Source organism: Homo sapiens, chromosome 1, assembly GCF_000001405.40.
Source record: "Homo sapiens chromosome 1, GRCh38.p14 Primary Assembly".
Classification (NCBI taxonomy): Eukaryota; Metazoa; Chordata; class Mammalia; order Primates; family Hominidae; genus Homo; species Homo sapiens.
Window position 1 is genome coordinate 104,062,429 of NC_000001.11, and position 15,935 is coordinate 104,078,363.

General features: G+C 37.1%; 1 pseudogene across 1 annotated transcript; it reads left to right on the top strand.

Annotated features, from left to right (window-relative positions):
* The first annotated feature begins 10,594 nt into the window (after positions 1 to 10,594).
* On the top strand, positions 10,595 to 14,658 carry THAP3P1 (THAP3 pseudogene 1; annotated as a pseudogene). Its single transcript, NR_033990.1, has 2 exons — positions 10,595 to 11,476; positions 14,317 to 14,658. The product of NR_033990.1 is annotated as a THAP3 pseudogene 1 (transcript).
* Positions 14,659 to 15,935: the final 1,277 nt, after the last annotated feature.

A 15,935-nucleotide genomic window follows, 5' to 3' on the forward strand; every position in this document is an offset into this window, starting at 1 on the left:
AACAGGTCCTGGTTATAGCGTTCCTGAGCCATGTTTGCCTGTTTTTCTGAGTAGGGGAACTTCATACAAGAGTATGTCTGTCTCTTTCATAGTGCTTCTCAGAGCCATTTAGGACTCTGTATTGCAGATGCAAATCTATTTTTCTAGACCTCTGAGAGCAGCTTCTACAGTTTAAATTTCCTTAATGATCCTCTAAAATATGGAGCTTGTTGGAAATAACGTTTATTGATAAGTTCTACTTCCTCTTAATTTCTACGCTGAGAGTAAGCTCTGCATTGCGTTTACAGCATAAAAGTTGTACTAAAATTTTAATTAAATAAAAGTTAACGGTTATGCTTTACTTGTATTTTTTAGTTGGTTGTAAATCATTGATGGTAATATTCTAAGTTCCTATCAAGTTTACAGATTTAGGCAACATTATGAGTTCAAATTATAATAGTGGATTCCTATCATCTCTTTATGTCAGTCCTAGTGAAACAAATTATACTAATTATATTTCTCAATGAAAGTTTTATGTGGGATTTTATTCTTTCTTGAGTTATATAATTAAGATGTGTTTTTTCCCTTTCCAAGTCATAATATCACTTTATTTTGTCCACGAGTTGGTCTGCCAGCCTTATACTCTTTATGCTTTCCTCTTCCCTCTCAGCTTCCACTATGTCCTCTTTATGCTGTGTAATAAAACATAGTGAAAAATAACACAGGTTTTTCCCAATCCCAAATAACACATAGATTGATTACTAGCTATATGGTCTTTATAAAATATTTTAGTACCTAAGTGTTCTCATCCATAAAATGAGAGTGAAAACATGATTGATTTTGTCCGTATATTATAATGATTCAAAGAGGTAATGCATTTACGAAGCTTAACATGTTACCTAATAAGTAAGACAGACACAAGAGATATTGTTATTGTTTTTGTTATTATTGTTAATGATGATGTTATGTATTTCACATAATTTCAATAAATTAATTTAGTCTTAAATTTTTCAACTGAAAATTTTTTCACAAATCATAATTACATGCATTTACATATACTCTAATATTCAAATAAACACAACTTTTAGCCTGTGCCTTCTTCTTAATATTTTTTTCTGGTATCATGACCAAGTATCTTGTATTAAATAGACATGTTTTGCTATGTTTGTTTTTATGTAAAACACACAGACAAGTGGCCAGCTAGCCTTTACAAGGGCTTACAGAATTACAACAGTGAGAATATTTACTCACCAGTGCATCTAATGATTTACACCTGTAATATTGTTGCATGTTAAAATATCAGGCTGTGGCTGTACGACAAGAATAGATCATTTATGTCAGAAATTCTTACCTTTTAGATTTTAAGAAGTCATTTCAAAGGAAAAATAAGCATGATGAATCCCTACCTGAAAATAATTTTACTTTTAGCACTTCTTAATATAAAAATCATTTCAAAAGGTACTATAAATTTATTAATTATTTTAATATAATTCATTATTTATCTCATGACACAGCAGTGTTTAAACAGTTGTGGTAAGTATATGTTTGGCTATACATGTATTCAGGCTTAAGGAATATTTCACGAGCCAAATCTTGCAATGGTTATAGACTCCCAATAGTTATAGACTACTGACTTTGTGACCAGGAATATTCTGTCTAAACTATCAGTAGATGCCCTTTACTAACTTACAGTATCATAGTCTTTTTCAAAAACTTAACTCCCCTCTAACCATGGGTTATTCAAGCAGAAACAAACAAATAAAAATAAATAAATTTAAAAATTAAGTAATAAGGAACATAAAATTTTGCCTCATTTTCAAGTAACTGCTTTAGGAAACAGAAAAAAACTTTTATCATTTTGTATTTTTAAAAAATTCTGTCCCAACAGAATGCTTAAACTTTTAATCTTTAAACCAAATAGGAGTCAGTAAGAAGAGTCAATGATTTGCATTAAAAGACATGAATAAATATAAATATGTGCTCTATTTATGCAAAAGGAAGAGGGAAAGCCTTTTTAGTAGCCCATATTTATTTATGTAATTACTTAAGACAGGGTCTTGCTCTGTCATTCAGGTTGGAGTGCAGTGACACAATCATGGCTCACTGCAACCTCAAACTCTGGGGCTCAAGCAGTCCTCCTGGGTCACCTCCCAAGTAGCTGGAACTAAAGGCACATGCCACCATGACAATAAACAAAATAATTCTATAAATACTCTTAGGCCAAGTGTAAGACTCTCTCATCATAATGAAATTATTTATATTTGAATATGACTCATAAATGTTTCACATAGCACACTTCTGACTGAGGCTATTTATCCAGTTACACAAGTAAGAGTTAAATCATTGTCTTTCTAATAGATATTTGATACACAACAAATTTTTCATGTTATCTTTTAAACTATACATAGACTATATTCAGTCCACTTTTAACTCTACATAGAACAATTGCTGGGCATAAATTAAACCTCCATAGATTTCAAAATATCAAAATCCTAGAGATTGAGCACAGAAATAAATCATAGTTTGATGGCATAAATAAATAAATCAAAATTTAATAACATAACAAATACAGTCATTCATATTTGTTCATTAAGTGTCATCCAGGTATTGATATGCATCCTCAGATAGCAAACTAGGTGGATGCTCAATTCCCTGATATAAAATGCTGTAGTATTTCCATAAACCTATGCACATTCTCCCATTTAGTTTAAATTATTTCTAGATTACTTATAACAGCAAATACAACATAAATGCTATGTAAAGAGTTGTTACACTATATTATTTCTATTTCTATTTTTATTGTTGCATTGGCATTGGTTATTATTTATTTTAAATTTTTAAATATTTAATTTTTGTGGGCACACCTAGCTATATGTATTTATAGGGTACATGAGATATTCTGGCACAGGCATGCAATGCATAAGAATCACATCACGGACAATGGGGTATCTATCTCCTAAAGCATTTATCCCTTGTGTTACAAACAATCCAATTATACTCTTTTTGTTATTTTAAAATGTCCAATTGAATTATTATTGACTATACCCATCTTGTTGTGCTATCAAATACTTGGTCTTATTCATCATTTCTAACTATATTTTCCGTACCCATTAACCATCTCCAACTTCCTTCCCACCCGCTAACTACCCTTCTCAGCCTCTGGTAACCATCCTTCTACTCTATGTCAAGAGTTCAATTGTTTTGATTTTTAGATCCCACAAATAAGTGAGAACATGCAATGTTTGTCTTTCTGTGCCTTGCTTATTTTACTTAACATAATGACCTCCAGTTCCATCCATGTTGTTACAAATGACAGCATCTCATTATTTTTTATGGCTGAGTAGTACTACTTTGTGTGTATGTACCACATTTTCTTAATCCATTCATCTGTGGATGGATACATAGACTGCTTCCAAATCTTGGCTATTTTGAACAATGCTGCAAAAACATATGCATGCAGATATCTCTTAGATACTGATTTCCTTTTTTAGGGATATATACCCTGCAGTGGGATTGCTGGACCATATGGTAGCTCTATTTTTAGTTTTTTGAGGAACCTCCAATCTTTTCTCAATAGTGGTTGTACCAGTTTACATTCCCACCAACAGTGTATGAGAGTTTCCTTTTCTCCACATCCTTACCAGCCTTTGTTACTGCCTACTGTTGGATAAAAGCTATTTTAGCTGGAGTGAGATGATATCTCACTGTAGTTTTGACTTACATCTCTCTTGGATGATCAATGATGTTGTGGACCTTTTCATACGTATGTTTGCCATTTGTATGTCTTCTTTTGAGAAATGTCTATTTAAATATTTTGCCCATTTTTTTAAATAAGATTATTAGATTTTTTTCTAAAAATATGTTTGAGCTACTTATATATTCTGGCTTTTAATCCCTTGTCAGATGGGCAGTTTGCAACTATTTTCTCCCATTCTATAGGCTATATCTTCACTTTGTTGATTGTTTCCTTTGCTGTGCAGCTTTTTACTTAATGTGATCCCATTTGCCCATTTTTGCTTTGGTTGCCTAGGATTGTCGGGCACTCAAAAAATTTTTGCTCAGACCAATGTCCTGGAGAGTTTCTCCAATGTTTTCTCATAATAGTTTCATAGTTTGAGGACATAGATTTAAGTCTTTAATCCATTATTATTTTATTTTTGTGTATGCTGAGAGATAGGGATGTGGTTTAATTCTTCAGCATATAGATATCCAGTTTTCCCAGCACCATTTATTGAGGTGACTATCTTTTCTCCAGTGCATGTTCTTGGCAACTTTGTCAAAAATGAGTTCAGTCACTTTTCGTTGGATTTGTTTCAGAGTTTCTTAATCTGTTCCATTGGCCTATGTGTCTGTTTTTATGCCAGTACTATGCTGTTTTGGCTACAGTAGCTCTGTACTATAATTTGAAGTCAGGTAATGTGATTCCCCCAGGTTTGTGCTTTTTGATCATGATAGTTTTGACTATTCTGAGTCTTTTGAAATTTCATATAAATTTCAAATTTTTTCTATTTCTATGAAGAATGTCATTGGTATTTTCATAGGGATTGCATTTAATCTGGAGATTGCTTTGGGTTGTATGGATATTTTAACAATATTGATTCTTCTAATCCATTAATGTGGAAGACCTTTCCATTTCTTGTGTGTATGCTCTTCAATTTCTTTCATCAGTGTTTTATAGTTTTTATTGTAGAGATTTTTCACTTCTTTGATTAATTCCTAGGTATTTAATTTTATTTGTGGCTATTGTAAATGGGATCACTTTGATTTCTTTTTTCAGACTGTTCACTGTCAGCATATGAAAATGCTACTGATTTTTGTGTGTTGATTTTGTATCCTGCAACTTTACTGAATTTGTTTATCAGTTCTAATGGTTTTATTTGTAGTGTCTTTAGATTTTTTCAAATATAAGGTTATATAATCTGAAAACAATGATCATTTTCTGCCTTTAGTTAGATGGCCTTTATTTCTCTTGCCTGATTGCTCTAGCTAGGACTTCCAGTACTATGTTGAATAACAGTGTGAAAGTGAGCATTCTTGTCATATTCCAGACCTAACTGGAAAGGCTTTCAGGTTTTCCCCATTTAGTGTAATAGCTGTGTGTGTCCTATATGGGTTTTATCATGTTAAGGTATGTTTCTTCTGTACTTAGTTTTCTGAGGGTTTTTATCATGAAAATAATGTCAAATTTTATCAAATCATTTTTCGGCATCAATTGAAATAATCATATGACTTTTGTCCTTCATTCTGTTGATATGATGTATTACATTGATTTATTTTCATATGTTGAGCCATTCTTGCATCCCAGAGATAAATCCTGCTTGGTCATGATGAATGATCTTTTTAATGCACTGTTGAACTTGGTTTGCTAGTATTTTGTTGAAGATATTTGCATCAATATTCATCAGAGTTAACTGGCCTGTAGTTTCCTTATTTTGATGTTTCTTTGTATGATTTTAATATCAGGGTAATACTGGCCTCATAGAATGAATTTGGAAGCATTCCTTTCTCTTCTATTGTTTTTGAATAGTTTGAGTAGGATTGGTATTAGTTATTCCTAAGTGTTTGGTAGAATTCAGCAGTAAAGCCGTCAGGTCTTGGGCTTCTTTTTTTTAACTGGGAGACATTATTATGGCTTTGATCTTGTTACTTGTTATTGATCTGTACAGGTTTTGGATTTCTTCCTAGTTCTGTTTTGGTAGGTTGTATGTGTCTTGGAATTTGTCCATTTCTTCTAGATTTTTCAATTTATTGGTTCATAGTACCAACTAATGATCCTTTGAATGTCTGCAGTATCCATTGTAGTGTCTCTTTTTTATCTCTGATATCATTTATTTGAGTCTTGCCCAAGACCCTTCCCTTTAGGGTGGCAAGTTCTCCCAGGCCCTGGGCATGTTCACAGATGCTGTCTGGGAGCCAGGGATTAGAGTTAGCAGTTTACCTAATGTTCTATCTTAGCAGTTTACCTAATGCTTTATTCTACTGTGGCTAAGCTGGCACTCACACCTTAATACAAAATCCTTCCTGCTCTTCCCCCGACTCTTCCCACAGCAGAAAAGCCTCTCCCTGTGGCTACCACCACCACCAGAACACAGAGATTCTACCAAGGCACCAACAATGCTCACTTAAAGCCCAAGCATTCCTCAGTCAAATTGTGGTGAATACTGCCAGGCCTGAGACTCACCCTTTAGGACAGTGGGCTTCTTCTGTCCCAGAGCAAGTTCAAAGTGCTTTCCAAGAGTGCAGGCCTGGACTCAGGAACCCAAAGAGCTTGCTTGTTGCTCTAATCTTCTGTGGCCAAGTTGGTACCTGAGGTACAAGGAAAAGCTCCTTTGCTTTTCCCTGTGTTTTGCTCAAACAGAAGGAGTCTTTCACCATAGCCACCACAGCTTGTAATGTGCTGTATCTCCCCTATAGATGGAAAGTCTCAGGACCCAATGTCCATGGCATACTACCTGAGTATTGCTGCTGGTTATTCAGAGCCCAAGAGTTCTTTAGTTAGCAGGTGATGAATCCTGCCACAACTGGGTTCTTCCCTTCAAGGCAGAGGGTTCTATTTGGCCTAGAGTGTGTCTAGAAATGTCACAGAAGAGGTAGGGCCTGGAATGGGAGCCTCATAACTTTGCCCAATGTGCTGTCTTATTATGGGTGAGCTGGTATCCACAATGCAAGACAAAGTCCCCTTACTCTCCACTATCCTCTCCTGAAGCAGAAGGAAAGAGTTACTTTTGTTGCTGTCAGTTTTACTACCTGGGATTGGGGAAGGGATGGTACAAACACTCCCTTAGCTGGACTAGCTGGTGTCTCCCTAGGTAACATGTCACCATAGTCCACTGTCTCTAAACCCAGCCTAGCACTAAAAGTTGCCTAGGATTACAGACCATGTTTCCGAGACTGTCTTTCAAGTTTACCTAGGACCCCAGAACCCTTCAGCCTGCAGTGGTGAGGCTTGTCAAAAACTCAAGTTCCAAATGTTGGGATGGTTGATTTTCCTCTGGTTAGGGCTGGACCCAATGCTCCCTCCATGGGTGGGCACTGGCTATTCCCAGTATGGCAGTATGGCTTCATTCTCCAATATGGCAGGGCAGTAATGAGTTCAATATAAAGTCCCCCAGTCATTGCACTCTCTCTTCCCAAAGTGCACAGATTCTATCTCCTTTCTGTGCTGCATGGTCACTGATGGGGGATGGGGTGAGGGATGGCATCTGCAATTCAGGACTCTCTCTTCTGTCCTCCTTGATGCCTCTTTCAGCAACATGCAGTTAAAACCAAGTACTATCATTGCTCAGCTGTTTTTTCTGTTGTTTGTTTCTTGTGATGGTGTTTTTTTTTTTTATGTGTTTAGATAGTTATTAAAATTTGGTGTTCCAGATAGGGCAGGTAGTAGGTGGGAGTAGAGGATGGGGACAAATGGTGCAGGCTTCTATTCTTCTTGCTCTGTCCCTCACATTGGTATTATTTATTTCTTTAATATTTAGGAATATTTTTCATCTGCAGTTTAATCTGTGGATTCAACCTGTAGGTGGAACCTGTAGATATGGAAGGTTGAGTGTATTAACACAGTATAATTTTAAAGTCTCCAAATACTTTTTCCTTGCTAAGGTATTTGGCATTTGAGTAAAATTTTTTGAACCCTCCATATAAGCCCAGCCATAAGGTGAAAATAATAAATGACTTTAGTAAGTCAATGGCATGTTGAGTAGAAAAATTGCCCAACCAATTTCTGACTCATAAAATAATGAAACATAATAAAATCAGTGTTTTAAGCCATTCAGACAATCTCCTGTGTTTGCTGAAGCTGCTAGAACTGTCATCCGGAAAATACAATTGTATTCTTAGACTAAATCCCAAGTTCAACCATGATTTTCAAGGTGTTTCAGCACAGGAGAAATTTTAGAACTCATCCACTCCAGCTCCTGCTCATGCCAAGGGATTTTTATGGGAATTTTGAAAATAAGATACTGGAAGGTCAAAGTATACAGGCAGTTTCAGAAGTCTGGGGATGAGAGAATAAAGACAGAGACAAGAACAGTATATAATCTTGGGCTAATGATCAATTAGGCCTGAGTCTTAGTAAGTAGAAAGTCACTGGGATTGAGAAATTTTCCAGGAGCCTCGACATTTCCACTGGACACCTGAAAAACTCCTACTCATGTTTCACTTGCTGAGTGTACATGCTCTGGAAAGGAGGGGAAAAGTACGTGAATTTCAGCAGAGGCTTAGATGCAGAGGAAAACTGGTCTATCTGAAGAGTCTCAGTGAGAAAGTCACACATGTGAAGACTTCACCAACAAAGAAAGATACTAGATGTGGGTGTCTCAGCGGACTCTAAAGAGTTAGATGCTGACACTTTGAAAGCAGTAAAAATGGTATTTATTTAAAAGATAATTATGGTGATGATTAAGGACTATAAGCCCCATTATCACTACTACCATCACTACCATAGCTCCATGGAGGTTTTTTAACCCTTCAGATCTTAAATAAAACACCAAAACTCAATGAAGAAAACAAAAACTCTGACTACAACTGAAAAAAAATTAGATTGGTTGACTTTCCCCTAACATGAATTATGTTACATTTCAACCTCCAGTTTAAATAAGGACTATAGATAGAATTTATTTTTAAAAAATGAAGTACATAAATTTTTAGAGGTTTCCTTTATTGTTGGAATTTTAGTAAGTGTATCACTATTAGTAGGTTTTAACACAAGATTTAATAAACATGTTCCTTTTAAAGCCTTATTTGACCACAGTTCACATGTTAACTATTTCAGAGTCAAATATAAAAGGCCTATTTTAGAATTAGCCAGCTCTCTAAGGATGTGGTTGATTTTCATAATTTTAAATGTTATAATAAAACATATTTGTCATCTGTTTCTTGAGATATGAATATAAACTATTCTTTTACATTCGCTTATCTTCATGCATAAAGGCTCTTCTTAATCATCTTTCCCCAAGTCCTGCTGTCACAGACATGGAAAATGACATAAAACATTTTTAGTCTCCACAGGTCACTTAAAATTATCAGATGACCTAGAGGTAAATCAGTGTTGTATCACTAAACCCAAGGAGTCACTAATTTTTGTTTTAGCATAATGAAATAATATAATGTACTTTCCTTGCTTAGAGTACAATAAAATTCACTTATCTGACATATTGGGAAATGTCTCATTTATATTTTTACTTTCTTTGTTTTATGAGTACACAATTGAGTTCCAGAAGACAATAAATGACCGAAAATAATTGTTTTCAAACTATTCATAATGATCCTTTAAGAAGTCAGAATAATGTACAAGAAAAAGATTAACCCCAGACTGCATAATGCAGCAGGCCACTGTCTTTCTGTTTGCCTTTACCCTCTATGTACTTCCTTTCTCATCCTTGTCTACCAGTTTTATAATTTTTTTTATTTTTGTATTTATTTATTTATTTATTTTTTGAGATGGAGTCTTGCTCTGTTGCCCAGGCTGGAGTGCAATGGGGCAATCTCAGCTCATTGCAACCTCCATCTCCCAGGTTCAAGTGATTCTTCTGCCTCAGCCTCCCGAGTAGTTGGGATTACAAGCGCCCACCAAAATACCTGGCTAATTTTTGTATTTTTTAGTAAGGATAGGGTTTCACCATGTTGGTCAGGCTGGTCTCGAACTCCTGACCTCAGGTGATCCACCCACTTTGGCCTCCCAAAGTGTTAGGATTACAGGTGTGACCCACTGTGCCCAGCCCCAGTTTTCTAGATTTTAAAAGAACTTCCAGACTTTCCACTATAGCAGATCCTGAGGAATATGCCAAGGTTTTGATCTTCCCCTTTCTCGATTTATATAACTTAGTATGTCTTCAGGATCTGCTCGGAAACAGATCGCTTTTCCTAAGATCCCAATGGGTAAGAAAATGCTGCCTTTCTTTGCTGAGATAATGTTTGCAATTCAAGTGTTACCTTAAAGGAATGAATTTTACAGGGACCTGTGGCAAAATACTGCAGGACAAACTTTGTAAATACAGACCTGCTTTTTCATTTTGTTTCCATTTTCAATTAAAGGATCAAAAAGTAGTATGTGGAATACTAGCAAATAATAGTAAAAGAATATATAGCTTGTACTTTTACCATGACATTATTTATTACAGACTTTTTCTTTCCCAGTGAATTTATGTACCAAATATCCTCAAACCTAGATTTATTGCTTCTTTAAACATTTAGAGAACAACTTTGAATCCTTATGTCAAACTATATACTTTTACAAAACGATCCCACAAGTTGTACATATATTATGAATTAGACTAAGTAAAATGTCACAAGATTGAAAAGTTCTATTTTAAATATAAGTGTTAGTGTCTTAAAATAGTATTTGTTAGTATTTACTAGTTGTTTGAGAAAGGCAGGCCTCCATAAATTAATTTACTCATGTCTTACTTTTTTTACAGGCTTTATTTTTTAGCTACCTAGCCTTAGAAAGATAATGCTGTATTTAAAGAAAAAAAAAACACTATCTGTGATAAACCTATATATTTATATCAAAAAACTATTTTCTGTGGCTTAGAAGATAACAAAATAAATACATCCGGCCCCGCTGCCGCCATCTTTGTTACGGGCAGCCAGGCCTGGCCGGAGATGCCGAAGTCGTGCGCGGCCTGGCAGTGCTGCAACCGCTACAGCAGCCGCAGGAAGCAGCTCACCTTCCACCGCAGGTGAGGGAGAACACACACACTGCCAGTGAGAGAGGAAATGCCAGCTCTTCTCAGAAAGAAAAGGTCCTCCCTGAGGCGGGGGCCGGAGAGGACAGCCCTGGGAGAAACATGGACACTGCGCTTGAAGAGCTTCAGTTGCCCCCAAATGCCAAAGGCCCCGTAAAACAGATCTCGCCACGGAGTCCGCAAGCAGCAGAGACTGTTGGCCGGCCGGCCGGCCCTGCAGGCTTGAGAAGGCCCCCCGACAAGCAGCCATCTGATCACAGCTATGCCCTTTTGGACTTAGATTCCCTGAAGAAAAAAACTCTTCCTCACTCTGAAGGAAAATGAAACGCTCCAGAAGCGCTTGCAGGCCCAGAGGCTGGTGAAGCGAAGGATGTCCAGCTGCCTCCGTGCCTGCAAAGGGCACCGGGGACTCCAGGCCAGACTTGGGCCAGAGCAGCAGAGCTGAGCCCCACAGGCTCCGGACGCAGAGGCGGCAGTGGCACCAGGGCCGGCAGGGCTTTGGAGCTCTGGCTGTGGACATTTTTGTCTGCTGTGGACATTGAGAAAGTTGGCCGTGAGGCCTGCCGGGCGGGGGATTGAAACAGTAACCAAGCTCCCTGGCGAGAGCCCCGACGCCGTCTGAAGGACGTTTAGAGGCATGGTACTAGGACTGAGCATGACAAGCTTATCCTCCCATAGTAACAGAAGTCCAGGCTGAGGCTGATTCTGAACTCTGTCCTTTCAGCACGCGCAGAGCGAAGGTCGTTGGAAGCCCCAGTATGGGAGATGCTCCTCAGGGAGGAAGCCATGTGAGGGGGCCGGCTCTGTGGCAGGTGAGTGGGTCCCCTCCTCCATCAGCCTGGACGGCCCCTCAGAGTTCTAAAGAGTGACTCCTGTCCTGGCCTGGTGTGAGTGGGCAGTGTAATAAAGTGCCTTTCTATTTAAAAAAAAAATACATTGGGGATATATAGAAATGCGGATACAACACCCTCCTATCAAAAGTGAAACACAAATTTTAAAAACCCACAAAAATCTACATTAAGCTCAGTAACTAAAGGTTACCAGAAAAACAGAAAAAAAATTAACTCTTTAGATAAAATGTTACTAGTTTTAACATTTAAACTTTATTTCAAACTTAACATGTCTAAAAAGAAATTTTATTTACCTCTTGCACACCCACCCACATCTGTTCCTTCTTGCCTTGCCCATCTTGGAAAATGACATTAGGTTTTCCATTGTTATTTAAACTTAAATCCTATAAACCATTTTTGAAAATGTTCAGTTATACTGTATATTCAATTTCTCAGCAAGTCGTTTGTTTCATCTTCAAAATATTTCCCGAAACTGTGTTTTCTCATTACCATGATTGATTCTGCCCTTTTCCAAATGACCGTCATCTTTCCTAAACCAGGTAATGTCTTCTTAATGACACAGTTTCAACTCCTTTCCACCTACTGACACTTTTCCACTCAGCAGCCAGACTGATCATTCATAATTGTACATCAGATTACACCACTCCTCCACTCAGATCTCCTGAGCCTTCTTATCTACTCACAGCAAAAGGCAAATTTTTCCACACCAAGGAAGCTCTGCATGACCCAACACATGCCTGCCCTTCCAACCTTGTCTCTCATATGGTTCTAGGTTATTCACTTCATTTGCCACACCTATTTCTGACTTAACTTTTGATAAGCTAAGATTGTTCTGATTTCAGATTTTGCACTTTATTTCTTCTTTGCCAGGAATGTTCATTCCCCATAAAGCTCATTTTCTTACTGTATTCAGAGTTCTATTCAACTGTCCTCTGTGGATCATCCCATGAAAAATTCTCTAGCCTTTGCTCTGCTTTGTTTTCTATAAACAATTTATTGTCCTATTATCATATTTTTCTATATTTGTTTAGTTGCTTATTATTTGCTCCCTTGGCAAGGACATAAACTGAGAGATTTGGCTAGTGGGTCCTTCTTTGTTTCCTCAGAAACAAGGAATTACACATAGTAGGTGCTCATTAAACATTTGTTAAATAAGTACACTAACAAACAATTGCAGTAAACATTCCCACTCTAACGCAACAGAAAGTTTCCAGGCCTACAGACTTTAATTTCAGTACTTCATAGAAAAGTTAATTTGGATGAGAGTAAATATTTTATTATATTTTAATCTGCATGTTTTATCTTTAATTTCAGGTGTAGAGAAAACATACTAGTATTTATTTCAAAAAATGTATTTTGTATCATCACTTCAATACAAATAATGGTCAGTAAGAGTGATTCATTTTGTTAGGGGAGAGGATAGATAACATGACTCTAGAGATGACAATGCTGGGTATAATATTTATAAATTAGGTTCATTATCTGATAAATATAAAATCTTAGGATATAAATTTGAAAAATTCTGCAGTATATGGAGGAACTTTAATATCAGCAGGCAAAGAAAAGTCAACTTCTTGTTAGTATTTGGGGGAGATACATGTCAGTGTTCCTTAATAACCAAAGTATGAAATTTAACTCCAAATGATGTAAAGTTTAAAAACACAACCAACACCACAGATCGATTTTCTCAGTAGGGGATCATTTTGTCCACCAGGGAATCTTCAACAGTGTCTGGAGACATTTTAGGTTGTTGCAACTTGGAGAAGCGTGCCACTTGGCATTTAAAGGGGAGAGGCCAGGGGTATTAGTCCATTTTCACACTCCCATAAAGAAATACCCAACACTGGGTAATTTATAAAGGAAAGAGGTTTAATTGACTCACAGTTTTGCATGGATAGGGAGGCCTCAAGAAACTTACAATCACGATGGAAGGCGAAGGAGAAGCAAATGCATCCTTCTTCATAAAGCACCAGGAAAGACTGGAGAGCAGGGAAAACCACAACTTATAAAATCATCAGATCTTGTGAGAACTTCCTCAGGATCACAAGAACAGGATGGAGGAAACCATCCCCATGATCCAAACACTTTCCACCAGGTCCCTCCGTCAATATGTGGGAATTACAGTTCAAGATGAGATTTGGGTGGGGATGCAGAGCCAAACCATATCATTCTACCTCTGGCCTCTCCCAAAGTTCATGCCATTTTCACATTTCAAAACCAAGCATGCCTTCCCAACAGTCCACCAAAGTCTTAACTCATTCCAGCCTTAACCCAAAAGTCCAAGTCCAAAGTCTCATCTGAGACAAGGCAGGTCCCTTACGCCTATGGGCCTGTAAAATCAAAAACAAGTTATTTACTTCCAAGAATCAATGGGGGTACAGGCATTGAGTAAATATTCTCATTCCAAATGGGGTAAATTGGCCAAAACAAAGGGGCTTTGCTCAGGGATAAGTTATAGTACTCTTGGCCATGAGTTCAATGTTAATGAATCAACAATATATATTAAATAATGTTTCATTAAACAGAAATACACATAAAATCAAGTTTATTGATCATTTGATGAAAATTTTACAAACAAGGCTTGAAGAAACCTAACCATGTATTTTCCCTAAGGCTAATGATTCAGCATTTTCTACTTCAGTGCTCATGGGGACATTATAGTAGACCATAACTTGACTAACGTAGTGACTTGTTAGACCATAATTACCAAGCATAACAAGAATCAACTGTATATGCTTTATTTGTATTATTTTCCACGTAATACACTTTTAAATATTATTTTGTCTTGCTTTAATGTTCAGATTGTAATAGCATAAAATATGTAATAACAATAGGCTGGGCACGTTGGCTCAGGCCTGTGATCCCAGCACTTTGGGAGGCCGAGGAGGGCAGATCACAAGGTCAAGAGATCAAGACCATCCTGGCCAACATGGTGAAACTCCATCTCTACTAAAAGTACAAAAATTAGCTGGGCGTGGTGGCATGTGCCTAGTCCCAGGTACTCAGGATGCTGAGGCAGGAGAGGATCACTTGAGACCAGTGGGCGGAGGTTACAGTGAGTCAAGATTGCATCACTTCAGCCTGGCAACAGAGCAAGACTGTGTCTCAAAAACAAAGAACCAAAGGAAAAAAAAAAAAAAAAAAAATATATATATATATATATATATATATATATATATATATATATATATGTATACACACACACACACGGCCATTTGTTTTCTTTACTCAGTCTTTTATAAAAACTATGATAAGTAGGATTAACCATATGTATTAATCAAGACTTTTCTGTGAAACCTCGTCTCTTTTAAAAATACAAAAAATTAGCCGGGCATGGCAGCGGGCACCTGTAATCCCACCTACTTGGGAGGCTAAGGCGGGAGAGTGGCGTGAACCCGGGAGGCAGAGCTTGCAGCGAGCCAAGATCACACCACTGCACTCCAGCCTGGGCGACAGAGCAAGACTCTGTCTCAAAAAAAAAAAAAATCAATTATATATATACATATATCTATATAAAGAGTTCCATTGACCAAGGGCTGGAGAAGATGGATGTCTTAGCACAAGAAAGAAGATAAAACTCATGCTTTCTCTTCTTTGTTCTTCTGTCAAGGCCCCCAGTGGGCTGGATGATGCTTGCTCATATTTGTAAGTGTGAATCTTCTTTACTCAGTCTATGATTTAAAAGATCATCTCTTCCGGAAACACTCTCCTAGAAACACCCAGAAATAACATGTTACAAGGTATCTGAGTGTCCCTTAACCTAGTCAAGTTGACACATAAAATTAACTATTATGGCCAGGCGTGATGGCTCACGCCTGTAATCCCAGCACTTTTCGAGGCCAAGGCAGGGGGATCACGAGGTCAGCAGATGGAGACCATCCTGGCCAACACTGTGAAATCTCGTCTCTACTAAAAATACAAAAATTAGCTGGACGTGGTGGCACGTGCCTGTAATCCCAGCTACTCAGGAGGCTGAGGCAGGAGAACCAGCTTGAACCACTGAGTCGGAGGTTGTAGTGAGCCGAGATCACACCACTGCACTCCAGCCTGGTGACACAGTGAGACTCTGTCTCAAAAAAAAAGAAAAAAAAAATTAACTATTACACCATATATAATATTACTTACAGGCAGTCATCTAGAAGACGTAAAATGGAGAATGCTTAAATTATATTGTCTTAAATTACTTGATTAAAGGAACATTTCCCCCCATAAATGGTATTTATATCATCATGTGATATTTTGTAATCATTTTAAGTAATGTACAATTCATAGACTATCAAAATGGAACATATCTGTTATAGAATTTTAAAAGAATTTTCTAAAAGTTCTAGTCTAATTTTGACTTTGACAACAAATAACAAGTTCTAAACTAATTTCCATTTTTACTTGTTAAATGTGCTTTTAGCTTCTGAGCTGTCAT